The sequence below is a fragment of the Homo sapiens genome, chromosome 8, assembly GCF_000001405.40.
Source record: "Homo sapiens chromosome 8, GRCh38.p14 Primary Assembly".
NCBI lineage: Eukaryota > Metazoa > Chordata > Mammalia > Primates > Hominidae > Homo > Homo sapiens.
This window is the reverse complement of record NC_000008.11, coordinates 50,170,913-50,191,816: the sequence shown is the minus strand read 5'-3', so window position 1 is coordinate 50,191,816 and position 20,904 is coordinate 50,170,913. Positions and strand designations below refer to the sequence as shown.

The 20,904-nt window shown below is 37.9% G+C and overlaps 1 protein-coding gene across 21 annotated transcripts in view; it reads right to left on the bottom strand.

Annotated features, from left to right (window-relative positions):
- SNTG1 (syntrophin gamma 1) overlaps positions 1-20,904 on the bottom strand; it is an 886,897-nt gene that overhangs the window by 604,876 nt on the left and 261,117 nt on the right. For 17 of the 21 annotated variants that reach the window (NR_135796.2, NR_135795.2, NR_135797.2 and 14 more), the window contains one exon: positions 19,182-19,256. The exons of the other annotated variants lie outside the window; for them this stretch is intronic. The gene's annotated coding sequence lies outside the window, so the exon portion shown is untranslated. The remainder of the gene's footprint in view (positions 1-19,181; positions 19,257-20,904) is intronic. 21 annotated transcript variants of the gene reach the window in all.

The following is a 20,904-nucleotide window of genomic DNA, read 5'->3' as shown; positions in this document are numbered from 1 at the left end:
TATCACCAGTCTCATCTCAAGAACACGTTCCTTGCATGGATACAGGGAGGGGAACAGCACACACCGGGGCCTGTTGTGGGGTGAGGAGAAAGGGGAGGTAGAGCATTAGCACAAATACCTACTGCATGCAGGGCTTAAAACCTAGGTGATGGGTTGACAGGTTCAGCAAACCAGCATGGCACGTGTATACCTATGTAACAAACCTGTATGTTCTGCATATGTATCCCAGAATTTAAAGTTTATTTTTTTAAAAAACAAGAACAGTTTCCCCTCATAATTCTGTATTAGAGGATTGTTTCTCAACATAAATTACAGCTGATTAACCAAAGATAGTGAGGCAAATGATTTGCCGAACTATTTCCAGTAGTGCTCTTGTGAATCAATGGAACACTACTTACTGATTCACCTGGCATATTAGAGCATCCTATGCTGATAACCCAATATTTCAAAATTAGCAACGATTTGCCAAGCATTTTTCTCCTTTTGCCCTTCAATACTGCTTCTGATGAACCAAAAAAAGGATAAAATATCTGTTACAATAAAATCTTAGTTTTCTTACCATTACCAAATGGCTGTATGTAATGCTTATAGTGAGGACAGAGAGGATTTTATCCCAGAAACACCACAGCATAATATAAATAACAAATAAACAAAACCCAGCCTAACATATTTGACATAAAAGTCTCATAAACTTTGGAGCTTTCAGAAGGCTACGTAAGTATGATATATGGCAAGACTGATGAAAATAGAGAATTCTGAATGGTAAAATGTAAAAAGAAGACCAGTGAAAGAAAAAATAGCGAAGTGCTTATCCAGAAAATAATACTATAACCCGGCATAATTTATGGCAATGAAAGGCAAGCTGTTTGTAGCATAATTGCACCATTCTATCTAAGCCCAATTTATTCTTATTGTCGTGTCATTCCACCTTGTTTCTTCATATGCTCTAGCTGTTTTGCTTCACCTACTGAAAGAGTGAACAGGTGGCTGCTTCCTCACAGGGAACCAGTTCCACTATCCACCCCCAAATGACCAAGCATGTCACCTCTGTGATGTGCGGAGGATCTTGCTGTTTGTCAACAGGAGGTAGTAAAATGGCTTTCAAAGGTTCTGCAAGTGTGTGCAAGAAGCTTTATTGAAACAATTTACCTCTAAAAGGCACTAGCAAACACTTAAAAAAAGAGAAAGAGAGTATTTTCTGTTAGTATACCTTTCTCAGGTATTCAAGTAGAAAAGAACACCAGTGTGATGATTTATGGCATGCTAATTAGTTACGGCCAATTCATTACCTTTTTTTCTCAAAGAGAAATCATTTAAATCAACTGGAGCTATGCATTTCAAACTGATTGCAAAGTCATAACCTTACTGATGTTATCAATGTTATCAACAATAGACTTAAATTGGGCACATTGAGTGAAAATAAATCTGAAATATAATCTTAAAAGCAGAAAATATGAAATATAAATATTACCACCTTTTGTTCTGACTGTTCTCCTCAATCCAGGGAGGTAATAACTATAAAAATATGGTTAACAGCTGTATTTTGCATGAAATATCATATTCTATGAAATATAATATTGTTCTAGAAAGAATCAGAAGCAGAATGCTGGCCTTTCTCTGAGAAGACTCAGTTACAGTAGACTGTGAGCTCCTTAAAGGCTGAATTATACCGTATCCATCTTTGAATTCCAGTGCCTAGTAGATAACCTAGTATATAGCAGGTATTCAGTACATGCTTGTTTAATGGATTAATAAATGAATGAAAGCTACCAAATGACTTATGAGTAATCAACATTCAAACAGAAAATAGGGAATATCTATAACACAAGCAATTGTCTTCCCATTGTTCACAAAATAATCTTCACTCAAACGTGTTCTAGAGAAGAATTAACTTAGATCAGAATTTAACTTAGATTAGAATTTAGAATTGGGATTCAAAAAAGTTCAATTATTAGATGTGCTACTGAAATCAAGTTAAAATCCTATCTCTATTTTTATAGTTTTTTGAAAAACACTATATTTTATGCCTAAAATACTAAATATTTATACTAAAATGTTTATCTCTTCTGAAATGTATTAAATGTTCTGTTCTGCTGTGTAAATGCCATGCAGCACCTAGACACAAGGAGGCTTGACACAGAGGTCTGTGTGGTCTTACAGCAGACTTGGTACCTGGAGTTTGAATGTTGTTAACTTTCCTTTTACACAGAGTATCCTTTACCCACAGAACAAATTCAGAAACAAAACAGAGAGTTATCAGGGACAAATCATATTACAGTCAACTTATAACTTGCTTTCTACCATAAATCATCCACTTCTTTCTCCATCTAGTGGTTTGCACAGTGTGGTCCCTGCATCAGCAGCACCTGGGAACTTAGAATTGCAAATTCCTAGGCTCCTTCCCACATCTACCGAATCAGAAACTCTGGGGTTAGGGCCTAGCAACCAGAGTTTTAACAAGATATCCAGGTGATTCCATTGTATGCTCACTTTTGAGAACCACTGCTTTATGATGTCAAAGACTACTGAAAAAAAAATAAACAATGACATAGGATAACAATAAAAAGTACTATATTTCTATCCCATTAATTTCATCCTTAAATTCATAATACCTCTGATGGCTTAATTATGTGTCTTTCAAAGTTTCCACGGCCCAGTGGCCTGGAGATTGTCAAAATATCCTTGTCTAGGTAAAGGATAAGTTGTTGTTTTTCCACCTTTGTGCTATTCCTGTGAGACCTCCATGGATTATGGAGGAAGTGTGTACCTCATTAAGATATGCTTCTCTGGCCCATTTACATAGTGACTCAAAAGTTGCTAATGCTGGGTGAGGCCCAGAACACAAAAGGGCTCTGAACAGATCCAGGCTGCTATGCAATCTGCTCTGCCTCTTGGGTTTCATGATAGAGTACACCTCAGGGAACTTGAAATGTCAGTGGCAGAGAGGGTTGCTACAGGTGAGTCACAGTGCAGGCCTTTAGGATTTGGGATCAAGGCCTTACTATCCTCAGTGAACGTCTACTCTGCTTTTGAGAAACAGATTTTGGTCTGCTACAGGGACTTAATAGATAGTCCATTGTGAACTGTGTATTGTTTGCCCCCAAAAGTCACAGTTGGGTGTGCACTGCAGTACTCCATTATCAAATGGAAGTGGTGTTTACCAGAGTGGACTCAGGCACACCTTGAAGGAATAGGAAAGTTACATGAAGAGGTGTCCCAAATGTGCATGGCTCTTACTCTTGCTACACTGCTTTTTCTCTCTCAGCTTGTACCTGAACCCACATGAGAGTACCCTATGACTATCTGAGGGTGAAAAAACTCTTGTGTAGTTTACAAATGGATCTGAATGATGTGCACGTACTGTCTGAGATGGGCAGCTGCAATACTGCAGCCCCACACCTACAGGGTCTTCCTGAAGACAATCGCAAAGGAAAATCCTCCCAGTGGGCAGAACGTGGATGAGTGCACCTGGTTGTTCATTTTGCCTGGAAGCAGAGAGGGCTAAAGATGGGGGACTACAATGATTCATGAGCTGAAGCCAATGGCTTGCCTGTATGGTTCACTATTTGAAGAAACGTGATTGGAATATTGGTGGCAAGGAAGTCTAGGGAAGGAGCATGTGGGTAGACCTCACTGAATGGTCACTGAATGGAACACCATAAAGATATTCGTGTTCTTTGAGAATGATTGTCAATAAGTGGATTCAGTAGACCAATATTTTAATAATGAAAATAGAATGGCCTGTTCTGTTGATGTCAGCCAGGCTCTTTCACCAGCCATTACTATCATATCCAAGTATTGGCTGGTGACAAAGTGGCTAAGGTGGCAGTGATGGATAATATGTATGTGCTGAAAAACACTGTCTTCCACTCACCTGGGCTGATTTGGATATAGTCCCTGCTAACATGGAACCACTTCCTGGGTGATCAGCCAGCTGCCTGGTTGTTTTCACTGGGCCACTTCCATCATGGAAGGGCAGAGCTTTGTTCATAGTGGAATACTTACTACAGGTATTGATTTGCTTTCCCTGATTACAGTGCTTTTGCAAAATTACCATCCATGAACTAATAAAATGCCCTTTCAAATATCATGGCATTGTACGTAGTATTGTTTCTGACCATGGACCTCATCTCAGAGCAAAAGAAATGTGACCATTGGTTTATGCTCATGAAAACTCTAAAACAATAGCATCCTGAGTTTATATATGTATGGGTTTGTGCAGTTTGATATTGCTTATTTTTTTAATTCTATAAGCTATAAAATGGGCCCAAGCACATAATCTATTTAACAAAGATACTGTAAAAGTTAAACAAAAATGTAAGTATAACATTTTCTTGTTTCAGCTTTCTGCGTATGGCTAGTCAGTTTACCCAGAACCATTTCTTAAATAGGGAATCCTTTCCCCATAGCTCGTTTTTGTCAGGTTTGTCAAAGACCAGATCGTTGTAGATGTGTGGTGTTATTTCTGAGGTCTCTGTTCTGTTCCATTGGTCTATATGTCTGTTTTGGTACCAGTACCTTGCTGTTTTCATTGCTGTAGCCTTGTAGCAGACTTTGAAGTCAGGTAGCAGGGTGCCTCCAGCTTTGTTCTTTTGACATGGGATTGTCTTGGCTATATGATCTCTTTTTTGGTTCCATATGAAATTTAAAATAGTTTTTTTCTAATTCTGTGAAGAAAGTCAGTGGCAGTTTGACGGAAATAGCATTGAACCTATAAATTACTTTGGGCTGAAACTGGACCCCTTCCTTACACCTTATACAAAAATTAACTCAAGATGGATTAAAGACTTAAATGTAAAACCCCAAACCATAAAAAACCTGGAAGAAAATGCAGGCAATACCATTCAGGAAATAGGCGTGGGCAAAGACTTCATGACAAAAATGCCAAAAGTAATTGCAACAAAAGCCAAAATTGACAAATGGGATATAATTAAAGAGCTTCTGCACAGCAAAAGAAACCAGCATCAGAGTGAACAGGCAACCTACAGAATGGGAGAAAATCTTTGCAATCTACCCATCTGACAAAGGTCTAATATCCACAATCTACAAGGAACTTAAATTTACAAACAAAGCAAAACAAAACAAAAACAAAACAACCCCATCAAAAAGTGTTAAAAGGATATGAACAGACACTTCTCAAAAAAAAAGACATTTATGCCGCCAACAAACATATGAAAAAAAGCTCATTATCACTGATCATTAGAGACATGTAAATCAAAACCATAATGAGATACCATCTCACACCAGTCAGAATAACAATTATTAAAAAGTCAAGAAACAATATTTGCTGTCGAGGCTGTGGAGAAATAGGAATGTTTTTACACTGTTGGTGTGAATGTAAATTAGTTCAAACATTGTGGAAGACAGTGTTCCTCAAGGACTTTGATTGATTTGAATTAAGGTGATTTCTAGAATAAGAAATACCCTTTGACCATAGGAAATCCCATTATTGAGTATATACCCAAAGGAATATAAATCATTCTACTATAAAGATACATGCACACATATATTTACTGCAGCACTATTTACAATAGCAAAGACATGGAGCCTACCTAAATGCACATCAATGATATATTGAATAAAGAAAATGTGGCACATATACACCATGGAATACTATGCAGCCATAAAAAAGAATGAGATCATGTCCTTTGCAGGGACATGGTTCAAGAAGCTGGCAGCCATCATCCTCAGCAAACTAACACAGGAACAGAAAACCAAACACTGCATGTTCTCACTCCTAAGTGGGAGTTCAACAATGAGAACACATGCACACAGGGAGAGGAACAACACACACAGACCTGTCGGGGGTGGGAGTCTAGGGTATGGAGAGCATTAGGGCAAATACTTAATGAATGCAGGGCTTAAAACCTAGATGACGTGTTGATAGGTGCAGCAAACAAACCACCATGGCACATGTATACCTATGTAACAAACCTGCACTTTCTGCACATGTATCTTGGAAGTTAAAGTAAAATTAAAAAAAAATAAATAAAATAAAAAACAATAGTGTTATATTATCTTCCATTGTATAATATAGAAAAAAATGAATTCATAGAAATGTACATTAATAGATAAAAGTTTGATGAGGAAAAAGAAAAAAGAATATTTTCCACAATTATTAGTGAACTTTAAAGTAAAAAAAGGTGTGATTTCTCTTAACCAATTAACATATATTATTTGCTTATATTGTCTGATAAATATGACCTTAAGCAGTTTTCACATATACATTTATATTTATCATAGCAGTATGGTCTATGTGGGAACTTACTCAGAGAGTTTAAGAAACTGTCAAATGAGTCACAACTAGTAAATGGCAGCATCAGGTTTTGACCTAAGCAGTATTTCTTTGGACAACTTTTAACACAACATGTATATTAGTCCATTATCACACTCACTGCTGTAAATAACTGCCTGAGACTGGATACCTTATAAAGAAAAAGGTTTAATCGACTCACAGTTCCATATGGCTGCGGAAGCCTCAGGAAACTTACAGTCATGGCAGAAGGCACCTCTTCACAGGGCAACAGGAAAGAGAATGAGTGCCAGCAGGGGTTATGTGATATGCTTATAAAACCATCAGATCTCAAGAGACTCAGTCATTATCATGAGAGCAGAATGGGGAAACTGCCCCTTTGATTCAATTATCTTCACCTGGTCCTGCCCTTGACATGTGGGGATTACTACAATTCAATGTGAGATTTGGGTGGGGACATAGATGCAAACCATATGAACCTGATTCTATTTTCTAAGCATATTATAAAACACTGTTACCTTGTGAAGACATTTGTCATCTTCAGAGGAATCAATGTCAGAAAGTATAACCTTGAATAAGAAGAATCTCAAATTTTTCTTTGTTTTGTTAAAAAAGAACAATCATAATTTTATATTATAAAAATATTGAGAATCTTCACAGTAATAAATAACTGTCATTTACAAAGTCAATAATACTTAAATACCACAAAAAGGATATTTAATACTGAACTAGGAACATTTTAATTTTTTTTCCTCAAAAATATACCAATCCTTATGTTTTTACATTTGGGGCACTAATATCTATTGTTTAACCATTAAAAAGGAATCTGAATGACGGAGATATTTCAAGTCAGGGGTAAACTCACTGGGACACATATTAAATTTCCCTTGGCTCGTTTGATAAGAATGGTTTCAGTGGAATGCTGAGTTAAGACCTATTTGTAATAGTTTCAAAGGTGACTAAAATGTGAAGATTTGAAAACATACCATAATTACAACCATTTAAAAGAGATTGAGATTGCAGGAAACAGACATTTCAGGCTGAAGCTACCAAAATAAGTGGAGTTAAAGGAGGAATTTTATTTTTAATTTTAAGATGTAGGCCGGGCACGGTGGCTCACACCTGTAATCCCAGCACTTTGGGAGGCCAAGGGAGGCAGATCATGAGGTCAGGAGTTGGAGACCAGCCTGACCAACATGGTGAAACCCTGTCTCTACTAAAAATACAAAAACTAGCCAGGTGTGGTGGTGGGCACCTGTAATCCCAGCTATTCAGGAGGCTGAGGCAGGAGAATTGCTTGAATCTGGGCAGCGGAGGTTGCAGTGAGCCGAGATCACACCACTGAAGTCCAGCCTGGGCGACAGAGCAAGACTCCATCTCAAAAAATAATAATAATAATAAAAAAGATGTAACCATATTTGTATTCTAATGGAAATAGACAAATGAAGCAGAGAGAGACAAACTGTTGATACTTGAATAAGTAAGATACAATTTCAGAAGCAGAGTCCTTAAGCGGGTGGAAAAAAAATGGAATCCAATGTAAAAGTGAAGGATTTTTGGCTAAGATGGGAGCATATACATTTCCTTCATAGTAAGAAGGGATACGGGAATAAATGCAGCTAGTTTGGTAGATTTTCTTAATAGATAAGTAATTTTTTTATTAATGCTGCTATAGTAGTAAAGTTAAGGCAAGGTTATTAAATACAGCGATAAAAGACATTTGCTGAAAGTTTGGAGAGAAAATAGATATAAATAGCAAATTCAGACAAATGATGACTCATAAGTAAGAGTCATGACTGGGCTGAGGTTTGGGGGTCACAAGTTGAAGGCGAACTCATCAGCATAGTTGTATGTTTTCTTTGAGTCATATTTTGCTACTTGGGGAAGCAGATAGAAATTTAGTTTAATTATGGTTAAGATTTTTCCAGATGTGCTGTGGGAAGGAGAGAAAGGCAAAAACGCTGGGAAGGTATGTAAATGGTGATTATACTGATGTATTATGGAATATAAGTTGTATAAGGATGGAATGAAGCCATAACGTGCTATGGGCACTTGAAGGTAAAGGGTTGAGGACTGGAAGTCTTCAGCTTAGTCTGGAATAGGATAACTAAGGTAAGTGGGCTGAAAAAATGGGATATAGAGTTATAAAACGGAGACTCTGGAGACGGTACAGTCACAGGCAATCATACAGTTTAGGGAATGGGCACCTGCAGACAAATGCACAAATAGCTGAGAGGGAAGCAGCATAGCACTGAAAGCCAGGGTGTGGAATTAATCTTCTGTGTGAATGCGGAAGCGTAAGACTTACAGAAATAGCGCAGAGAAACACTGTTAGTCAAACACTAAAACCTTGAGTAAATGAGCAGGAGTGACCAGGTTGATGTCATCAGTATGAAAATAAGCAATGCATTCTGATGAAATGCCTAGCAAAGGAGTAGTGGTTTATAAGAGAGTGGAGATCAGGAAAAGCAAGGAGGAGCAAGGTAACAGAATGGGTCAGATTAGGCGTTACAGTCAGTTGGGGCAAACCGTGAGAGGATGTAATGTAAAGTTGGCCACCACTTGGTATGCGGCATCAGTGACATCATCTTGGGATGGTGTCTCTGAGGATAAAGGGGAGAATAATATATTTATTGGCTCTAGTCTCCAGGTTGTCAGAGATTTGCCTCATGGACAATTAATTCCATAGCATTTGTTTGTGCCTCATCTCAATAGAAAATTTCCAGGCAGAAGAAAAAAGAGGAGTGATATGGGATGCAGGTTTAAGATGAAGAGCTGGTCACTTGTGCTTGCATAAATTTTTTTCAAACTCCAGAAACTTGACCACTGCAGTAGTGGCTGAAGCTGGAAGAAGTGACCAAAAAAGATGAAATTAAGAGAATCTGAAGTAGCTTTTAAGAGATGTCTGGTGTACACACACACGCACACACACAGACACGCACGTGCCAAATCACATTTTTTTCTTGAAAAAATGCTTCCTGTTGCAAATAGGGCTACTTTTATAACTAATATATTAGGATATCTGTACTCATAAACATAAAATATATTTTATTTAGTAACATGCATCTTGTACCTATTTATCTCTTTCAGCTTACTAATTACATGTTACTCAACTAAAGATTTATTTCTTATAGTGTTTATACCCTGCAATATAAAAATGGTTTAATGTCATGTCATAAAAATATTTGGATTAGTTGACAAAAACCTGAAGAGACAGTTGTTGATCTGCCATTATCTCACCACCTAACTTTGGAGAAGGGCAATCGGCAATAAAAGAACCCACCATATCTATATCAAAGCTGAATGGTGCATTCTCATTTTTAAAAAGGCATAAACTTGACTGGTGTTATTATTATATATGTGTTATTCTTTGCCTCTTCAACCCTTAGGCATTTAGACTGGGGTGCTCATGCTGCAAATGACACTCTTCTAAAATAGATCTTCGTATTGATCTTGCTTTAGAAAATAATATTATATTCTTAATATGATATCACCACTTGCTCCATTGAGTTCATACATTATATACTGTAACAAAGAAGTGTAGAATAATTTTGAAAATCTGGCTTGGTTTTTAAATAGCAGAATAATTATTGTATTCTGTCACAACATTTATTTCAAGGGAACTGTTTCTTTGCTTGGTCAATTGGCCCTTCTTGCACTATTGATTTTCTTTCATACTGGAGGAAAATCAATAGCTTTCCTTCTTATTTTTTCTACATATTAAGAAATAATATGCAGCAAAGCCCAAATTGAACTTTTTAAAGAATAAAAGATAATATCACATTTCAAAAGCATATAACTTTGTACATGTTACTATCCATCACTGAGAAATGTTAACAGATTAAATTTTGCTTCATTTTCTCATCATTTTTCTATGCATACTAGCAATTACACAGTTAAAAATAAAAATGAAATCCCTTAAATATTATCACAGTATACATTATACTAGTGTTATTTTCTTCCTTAAATACTCAAAATAACTTGTTGAAAACATAAATATTGTAAGTACCAGTTAAACCCAATTAAATTTATAAAATGAGAATGTATAGCCCAGAAATAGCACCTGAAAAACTCTGCTGACTGCCCTTCCCCACCTATTCATGGAGGTAGGACTGATGCACGTGCTAACCAAATGGTTGTTTTTGGAGAATAAGTTTTTGGAAAGGCAAGAAGGCTGAAATTATATTAAAGCAATTAATAAAACTACAGTCAAGTTTATGATAAACTCCATTAGGAAAATAAAAACAAAGATCAAGTCCAAATATCCAGATGCAGGATCTGAGACACACAAGGTACAAAGAAATGAGTTTTAAGGATGGGGCATGTGTAAAAGCATAGGACATGAGTCAGATTAAGTTAACTAAAAGTGAGGTCCAGAGCAATCACCACCAACAATGCTGGCCTGGAGAGCACAGTTCAGACAGGGCTGTGTGAAGTGACTAGGAGGGAGAAGTACTCTTGGCAATGGAGTAATGCAAGACTTCTCTTCAAGAGTTCACAGGCCGGGTGCAGTGGCTCACGCCTGTAATCCTAGCACTTAGGGAGGCTGAAACAGGCAGATCACCTGAGGCCAGGAGTTCGAGACCAGACTGGCCAACATGGTGAAACCCCATCTCTACTAAAAATACAAAAAAATTTAGCCAGGCATGGTGGCGTGCATCTGTTAGCCCAGCTACTCGGGAGGCTGAGGCCGGAGAGTCGCTTGAACCTGGGAGGTGGAGGTTGCAGTGAGCCGAGCTTGTGCCATTGCACTCCAGCTTGGGCAACAAGAGCAAAACTTTGTTAAAAAAAAAAAAAAAAAAAAAAAAAAAAAGGCTTCACAATCTGGTGGGAAACGCAAGCAAAATTAATCTAAAATGCTATTATATAGAAAGATAGAAAAGGAATAATTAGGATGGGCCACCTAAAAAAAATGTGTTGAAGGTGGTGGGATTTATGTTTGGGTTTTGTATAATAGGAAGTCTGTTTTCTCCCATTTTCTCTTGCATTTCTTTTCATTGAGGTAAAATTCACATAGAATAAAATTGATTAAAGTATATAGCTCAGTGGCATTTAGTAAATTCACAACATTGTGCAAATATTACTTCTATCTAGTTTCAAGACGTTTTATTACTTTCTTTTTTGTATGTATGGTAAGCACACCTAAAGTCTACTCTCTTCAGAAATTTCCAGTATACAGAACAGTATTATGAACTAGAGTCCTCATGCTGTACCATAGATCTCTAGACTAATTCATCCTATATAACTTCAAGTTTGTACTCTTTGATTCCCATCTCTTTATTTCCACACCCTCTCCTCCCAAGTAACTACCATTGCACTCTGTGTTTGTGTGTATTTGACTTAAGATTCCACATATAAGTGAAATAATACAGTATCTGTCTTACTGTTTATGGCTTATTTCACTTAGTGTAATATCCTCCAGGCTCAACAATGTTGTTGCAAATGTCAGCATGTCCTTTTTTAAGACTGAATAGTATTATATTATGTACATATACCATAATTTATTTATCCATTCATCCATCTATGAACAGTTAGGGTTGTTTTAATATCTTGGCTATTGTGAATAATGCTACAAAGAAAAGACAAATGCAGATATTTCTACCAGATGCTGATTTCACCTTCTTTGGGTATATAACCAGCAGTAGGATAGCTGGATCATACAGTAGTTCTGTTTTTAATTTTTTGAGAAAACTCCATGCAGTTTTTCACAATAGCTGTTCCAATTTACATTCTCAGCAGCAGTGCACAAGGGTTTCCTTCCCTCCACACCCTTGCTGACACCTCTTATCTCTTGTCATTTTTATTATAGCCATCTTAACAGATGTAAAGTGATATCTTACTGTGATTTTGATTTGCATTTTCCTGATAATTAGTGATGTTGAATGCCTTTGCATATGTTTGGCTATTTGTATGTCTTTCTTCGAAAAACGTCTATTCATATATTTTGCCCTTTTTTAATTAGATTACTTTTTTCCTTTCAAGTTGTGGGAACTGCTTATGTATTTTGAGTATTAATTTCTTATCAGATGTATAGCTTGCAAATATTCTCTCCCAGTCCATAGATTACCTTTTTATTGTGTTGATTATTTCCTTTTCCATGCAAATGTTTTTTAGTTTAATAACTAATGTTTATGGCTTGAAAGTTTTAATATTTTTAAAATGTCAAATACTGCCTAAAGCCATATACAGATTGAATGCAATCTCAGTCAAAATTTCAATGGCATTTTCACAGGAACAGAAAAACATTCTAAAGTTATATGGGACCCTGAAAGACTCAAATAACCAATGAGATCTTGAAAGCTGAAAACAGAGTTTGGGGTATCATATTTCCTGACTTCAAATTACATGACAAAGCTACAGTAGTAAGAACAATATGGTACTGGCATAAAAACAGATACATAGACCAATGGAACAGAGTAGAGAGCCCAAAAATCAACCCAAGCATACATGGTCAACTAATTTTGGGAAGGCCACAAAGAAGACACAATGACATTAGGATAACTGGGAATCAGTACTCAAAAGAGTGAAACTGGACTCTTATACAACACACAAAAATCAACTCAAAATAAATTGATGATTTCAATATGAGATCTGAAGCAGTAAAATTTGTAGAAGAAAACATGGGGAAAACCTTCTTGATATTGGTCTTAGCAATAATTATTTTGAATATGACATTGAAAGCTCAGGCAGCAAAAGTAAAAATAAGCAAGCATGACTACATCAAAATAGGAAACGTTTTAGTAAGGGAAAGTGTGTCTTTTTGGCAGAGTGTCACACAGAGATAACATCAGGGAGAAAGGTGAGATTATAGGATGAGGCAAATATATATCTCGATATGATAAAGAACAAAAATAATGAACAGAACATGCATAAGAAGGCTGATAGAGCTGATGGTTATAGAATTCATGGACACCTGGAAGTTCAAGAAGAAAGAAATGGACAACTATAGGTTTGATTTTGCAGATAAATAGAGGAAGATATTGACTAATACTGGGACCTGAGGAAGAGGCTTCATATTGTATCTTCTCTTTATAATTCATTTGTATTAATTAGTATTGTCTATAATGGCCTTTCCCAACTTGTTAATTTCAAAACTAACATGTTAGATAACCTCCAACAATTTCCTAAACTATCCCTGTGTGTGTGTGTGTGTGCGCGCGCACGTGTGTGAAGAGAGAGACAGAAAGTGACAGAAAAAAAAAAAAGAGAGGAGGAAGAGACCAGAAGAAGAAAAAGAGGAATGGAAAGAGGGAGAGGTAGAGGAAGGAGAAGACAGCAGTGGCAAAAAAGAGAATGCCAAATGGTTTTGCCACATTGGAAAACAGCTTTGCAATTCCCTACAGAGCTTACCACTTGATGCAGCAGTTATGCTACTAAGCATTACCAATGGATTTGAAAGCTTATGTAAGGTCTGAATATTTTTATTGCAGCTGTATTTGTAACTGCCTTCAGAAGACGAATGAATAAATAAATCGGAGTATACCACAGAATGCCATATTTTTAGGAAAAAAATCAGCTATCAAACCTCCAAGAGACATAGATGAATCTAAAATGCATTTTGTTAAGTGAAGGAAGCCATTCTGAAAGGCTATCTACTGTAGGATTCCAATTATGTGACAATTGAGAAAATGCAAAACGGTAGAGACAGTGAAAAGATCATTGGTTTCCAGGGGTTCAGGAATGAGGAGAGTTAAATAAGAGAAGCGTAGGGGATATTTTTGGGTGGTGAAACTCCTCTGCATGACACTGTAATGATGGTTCCATGATATGCATTTGTCAGACCCATAGAACACTGCAACACAAAGCACTCATTTGAATGTAGGCAAATTAAACAAGTGTTAAAGAGGTCAAAGCGTTCAATTAAGTGTGGGGCTGTGTATGCAGGGGCCTTATAAGGCTAAGTAAGTCTTTGTTTCCATGAAGCCAGCCCACTCCTGTTTCACTTGTCAACGTTTGCCTCTTAACATTTGCCTCTGTGCTTTTTGCTGGCTGTAACCAGCCTCTCTGAGCAAACCAGGGTCTCTGTGTGTCCCACGGGTTGGAGCAGACACTGTACAGCTGTAACTCCTCCTCCGTGGGAATAGTTGAGGTTGAAGTGAAGATTGGCTTTTGCATCCAGGACAGAGGGAGGCAAGCAGGGATGTTCGGGAATGAGGCACTGACTGCAGCTGACACAAGATAACCATGGGGTAGTGAGAGCCATCACTAGGAGTAATCCAGCCTGAAGGCAAGGAAGACACCTGAAATTTGGAAAGAAGGCAGGACTGAGCAGATGTGGAAAGTCATATGAACAAGAGGGCCCCACACTCTCAGGGAGACACTACCTCTCTCCACCATTTCAGCTGCCATGCTCCAGAGTTTCTGTAATTCTGTTCTGCAGCTTTGATACTATAAGCAGCATTTAACACAACAAGATTTATGAGAATAATTTTTGAGACTTTTTTGCTTTTCCCTGTATTACCAAAGTTGTCTGATGGTGACCTAAAGATTTTCTTGTGACTCTACTTCACAGACAAACACAAATACAGGCCCACACTTTTAGTCCTGAGAGGCTGCCAATGGCCTTTACCTGCACGGCACAGTCCCACCTTCTCTTGACTGAACAGGGGGAGATGGAATCACCAAGACTGAAGCAGCCTAGATTAATCTGCCCATGAGGGAAAGCAATACCAAGAACTTGAGAACTTCCAGAAGTCCCTTCATACCTACTAGGGTAGACAATACGAACAATAAAAGGGACTATTTTTAAGTGTAGCTAGACTTTTCTCAACTAAGAGAGTCTTTGAAATGAACAAAATGGAGCTACAGAAATGTTCCCTTCAGTTGATCAATTTTTCTGAAATGTTCATTTGGACCTTATACATTGTGGTACACCAGTTAATCCTGAGATCACAAGGAGAAACTACCGTTTCTTCCCTGTCATATAACTTTCCTGGAAACATAAAACAAGCAAACAAATGCAAGTCACTCTTTTTTTTCCAGTCTAGGGGAACCTCACTGCTATTAGTGCCCTAGCTGAGGACTTTACCTGCCTTCCCTACATGAAGCTTTTGCAGTCAGATCCAGGAAACAAGAGAAATAGGCAGTGGGTCCCAGTCAGAATGAATTCAGAAAGTTGCCCAGGATATGAAGTCAGTACTGGGCTGAATGCTAAGCTTGCTTGCATTTGATCAATTTGTCATTTTATCTGTGACAGACAACACTAGAAATAGAGATGATTTCCAAGTGAAGTCAATGATTCTTCAATCACAAATCTGTCTGAGAGTACTGGGAGCTTGAACAATGATTCTGGTGGCACATGGGGCAATAGAAGTTGCGTCCTGTCAGCAGCTGCAACTTGTGACACAGAGAGGGGCAGGCCACAGCAGAAGGACCAATTGCAGTCAAGGGCAGAGGCCTCAGACATCCCCAAAACACACAAAAGCAACAATAGCAAAAAAAAACTATGTATTAAAATGTTAAGTGTTTTATTATAATACTCTTGTTTCAGTAATTTAAAAATGCCCAGGAAGCCTGGGGCCGCCTCTAGCCAGGCAGAGAGGGCAGCAAACACAAAGGGGCAGGTACCCAGTTGTGACAGCTGAGGACACCCAGGCTCTCAGGGTTCCTCATGCTCCTAGGGCTATTTTCAATTCCAATGTGAAGCCAGCCTAGCTTTAAATGTGGGCAAATATGAGCATGAATTAAACATGAAGAGGCAAAGAGATATATTTAAGAAAGAGGACGGCTTGAAATGCATCCAGCCATATTTTTTAAAAAATAACAAAATATTAACTACTTTTCAGGATTGTCAGAAGAAGGTGGCTTGAGGATGAGAATAGCCGCCCTCAAGTGAATTTCCATTATTTTCCTTACAACTGCCTTTCTCCATTTCTTCATGTATAACCTGTACTCTTATTGGGCTTTAGTCAGGATTTACTGTGCATGATACTTTGAAACCTTTGCACAATGGTAGTGTGAAAGCATGCAGAGCAGCCCCTGACACTGGGAAATTCTAAGAAGGGAATAAATGACCCCCTCTTACACAGCAACAGCTTGGCCACTGATGGCTAGCCCAGAATAATTCTGGAAGTTTCAGCTTCCATCCTTTGCTCTCTGTCCCCTTCAATTGATTCTTCCACAAGTGCTTCCAAATTAAGGATTGAGAAACCAAGGAATCACAGGAGAAATATGAATATCCATTTAGTCTGGAGGTTTGGGGAATGGGAATGGATTTAGAAGAAATGAAGGCAGTGACAGAGCAGCCAAGTTCTAGATCACTCGCTGCTGCTTCGGTGTGGCGATTCCTCAGGGATCTAGAACTAGAAATACCATTTGACCCAGCCATCCCATTACTGGGTATATACCCAAAGGACTATAAATCATGCTGCTATAAAGACACATGCACACGTATGTTTATTGCGGCACTATTCACGATAGCAACGACTTGGAACCAACCCAAATGTCCAACAATGATAGACTGGATTAAGAAAATGTGGCAAATATACACCATGGAATACTATGCAGCCATAAAAAATGATGAGTTCATGTCCTTTGTAGGGACATGGATGAAGATGGAAACCATCATTCTCAGCAAACTATCGCAAGGACAAAAAAACCAAACACCGCATGTTCTCACTCATAGGTGGAAACTGAACAATGAGAACACATGGACACAGGAAGGGGAACATCACACACCGGGGACTGTTGTGGGGTGGGGGGAGGGGGGAGGGATAGCATTACGAGATATACCTAATGCTAAATGATGAGTTAATGGGTGCAGCACACCAACATGGCACATGTATACATATGTAACAAACCTGCACGTTGTGCACATGTACCCTAAAACTTAAAGTATAAAAATAAAAAAATTTAAAAAATGCTTCTTTTTTCCTCTTTTATCTGTTGGACTCCCCTATGAGATTTTATTTGAAGTACATATTTAACTATGAAAAAAGGTCTAGCAATGAAAAATAACTTGAAAACATTGGGTATATAATGGCATTTATAATGCGTTAGAAAGGGTTATTTTTGCTTTGGGGAAAATGTGCTTTGGAAATTTCTGAGTTTACATGAATGATGAAAATACACTGTTTAATTTAAAGGTAACTGTTTAACGCTTTTACACTGTTGGTGGAAGTGTAAATTAGTTCAACCATTGTGGAAAACAGTGTGGTGATTCCTCAAGGATCTAGAACCAGAAATACCATTTGACCCAGCAATCCCATTACTGGGTATATACCCAAAGGATTAGGAATCATTCTGCTATAAAGACACATGCCCACGTATGTCTACTGCAGCACTATTCACAATAGCAAAGACTTGGAACCAACCCAAATATCCATCAGTGGTAGACTGCATAAAGAAAATGTGGTACATGTACATCATGGAATACTATGCAGGCATAAAAAAGAATGAGTTCATGTCCTTTGCAGGGACGTGGATGAAGCTGGAAGCCATCATTCGCAACACTCTAACACAAGAACAGAAAACCAAACACCGCATGTTCTCATGTGTAAGTGGGAGCTCAATAACAAGAACACATGGACACAGGGAGGGGAACATCACACACCAGGGCCTTTTGGGAGTTGGGGCCAAGGGGACGGAGAGCATTAGGACAAATACCTACTGCATGCAGGGCTTAAAACCTAGATGATGGGTTGATAGGTGCAACAAACCACCATGGCACATGTATACCTATGTAACAAACCTGCATGTTCTGCACATGTATCCCAGAACTTAAAGTAAAATTTTTTAAAAAGATAATTGTTTAAAAAATCTACCTGAATAATTTAAGGATCAGATTGGGTGAGGGAAATCAATCTATTAGCAACCCATCCATGACAAGAAACAGCACAATGTGGCTTCCATGTCTAACAGAATAGGTAGCAAACAGGACAACTTTGAGGCCTAATTGCTTAATCCTCAGTGCCTCAGAACTTGCCATAGTCCTTGAAAACCCAGCCTAGAAATCTCTTTAATAGGCAATCTGCATGGCTACATAAAGTTATAAAGTTTCATGGTTTTTATAACACATGATACACTCAAAGATTCTTGCCACTTCTACACTACATTTAAGTATAATTGAGTACATAAATATGCACACAGTATACTTTTCAGTACTGGCACTCATTGAAACCCAACATATATCAGTGAGTTTGATGAATCTTACTAAAGCCATACTACAAGTCCTTGGACTGTAAGGACATAAGCTATCAAAAATACTGTGACAGCTTATTATAAAAATAGATTTAGTGACTTCAATCCTAACCTTTTCTAGCCACGTTCACCTCCTTCCAACAAATAGTGTATGATTCCTTCCTAAAGTAACACTTATTCTACTACAAGGTCATTGATCCACCTGCATCACCCATGCTGACTCACACTCCCTTCCTGAAGGAATTTGATTCATTGTACTAATTTCACCTCATTCACTCCTTCCTCTGAACAAACAAAAGAGAACGTGACAGTTTATAGTCACCCTGCCAAGCATCGCAACCCACTCCCCATTGTTGAGTGTCTGCCCTTCTCAGAAAATCGCAGCTCACTGAAATGTGTAACTCCAGTTACCATCTTCATGAAGAGACACAGATCCCTCACCTAATAAAGGGTGTTTTTGAAAAACTAAATGATTTTTCTCATTCCTATAAATAGTGCTTATTAAAGAAACAACACAAATTCAACATAGCTGTTTAAATAAACATTGTGGAAAGACACATCAAAATGCTGTGTAACTACAACTAAACATGGAGATACGTTCTGAATATTTCTACTGCTTCCATAACAAGAGGTTTTGTTTTTTTTTTTTGTCATTTTTCAAGAACAGAGAAAGAAGCTTCAAAAAGATTAATATCAAAGAAAACAATTGTCTCTTAGAAGTGTAGACTAATACAGTTGATTTTTTCCACTAATTTACACATGATACGTTATTGCAAAGTAATGGTCTTACTTGAATTTAGGTACAGCAATATTTTTCTTTTGCTGGGGTCACTTCTCGGGCAATCTCAACATTCTGGAGAGCAGTCTAGATGCAGAAATAAAAAAAAATAAGTCCTATGAGCATTCAAAAATAGAAGTGATGAAATCTACACACCGAAATGTATCTACTTTACCCATGAGGAAGACAAGACTGCTATTTACACTCAAATCATACACAATTTTCCACACTTTCTTGTCAATTTCTAGGAATAGCTCAAATCCCTGTAAATTATCTAGAGACCAAATGAGGTAATATTTTCCAAATGACTAATGCCACAAGATTAAGTTCTGTAGAACACACTTTGGGGAAATTGACTTCAAAAGGAGTACCAGAGGATATTTCATTTGCCAGTAGGTAGCACTTGGATCTAAATTTAGAATCAGACTCCAAGTTTAAATTAGTGATAATATTTAAAAGCATTCATTGTGAGGAATGGTCTATTGATTTAATGCCAAGAAGTGATTACTTTTTTATGAGACTTAGCTGTTAACTCAGTTTTATGGTGGTGGGGGGCAGGCTGACCTCTTAAAACATACTGTAATTGAAGACTTGAGCAACAGATTGCTAATTTTAGAGGCTAGAGTGGTGCTTCTGCCTTTGTCATTTAGTTTTTAAAGATCCCGTTTATGTTACTTGGCCCCTCATGAACTCAACTGTAGTTTTGAAAATACCATACTTTAATCAATGATAGGCAGGTGAGATGCCTATATTTAATAGAGCAGTGGTTATCAGAAGTCTCAAGGGGATGAAGCTGGCTCCATAAGCATTGCTTCTGTAGCTTATTGAAAATAATATTTATAACTGAGGAGATAGAGTTCAATTCTGAATCTGAATCAGATTCATATAGAGGCCTATAAATATGCATTTTTAAGAAGCTCCCTCAAAATCTGAAGCACAGCTAAGTCGAGAACCCTTAACCAGAATAAAGCTTGTGAGATGTGCTAGGAATAATTCTTGGATGGTGTGATGGTTAACACTCAGTGTCAACTTAATTGGATTGAAGGATGCAAAGTATTGAACCTGGGTGTGTCTGTGAGAGTGTTGCCAAAGTAGATTAACATTTGAGTCAGTGGGCTGGGGAAGGCAGACCCACCCTTAATCTGGATGGGCACAATCTAATCAGCTGCCAGCTTTGCCAGGATATAAAGCAGGCAGAAAACCATGAAAAGACTAGACTGGCTTAGCGGCCCAGCCTACATATTTCTCCTGTGCTGGATGCTTCCTGCGCTTGAACATCAGACTCCAAGTTCTTCAGCTTTGGGACTCAAACTGGTTTCTTTGCTCCTCAGTTGACAGGCAGCCTATTGTGGGACACTGTGATTGTGTGAGTTAATAATACTTAATAAACTCCCATTATATATATGTAAAAGGAAATATATATATATGTATGTATATTTCCTATTAGTCCTGTCCCTCTAGAGAACCCTGACTAATACAGATGGCCCCCAGATTCTTGCCCCTGAAATGCCTCTTGGCTGTGGACTGGACTTGTGGCAGTTGTGGATTTCACTCCTGTTCTAAGATTCCATCAGATGACAAAGGTGGAAGGATTTTGTAGCTGTCATCTCCCAAATCAGTCAATTTTGAATTAATCAGTTTGAAGGAGATTAACTGGGTGGCCATACTTGATCGATCAGGTGGGAGCTCCTACAAAGGGTCAGAGGATCAAGCTGGGACAGATCCTCCTGTGCCT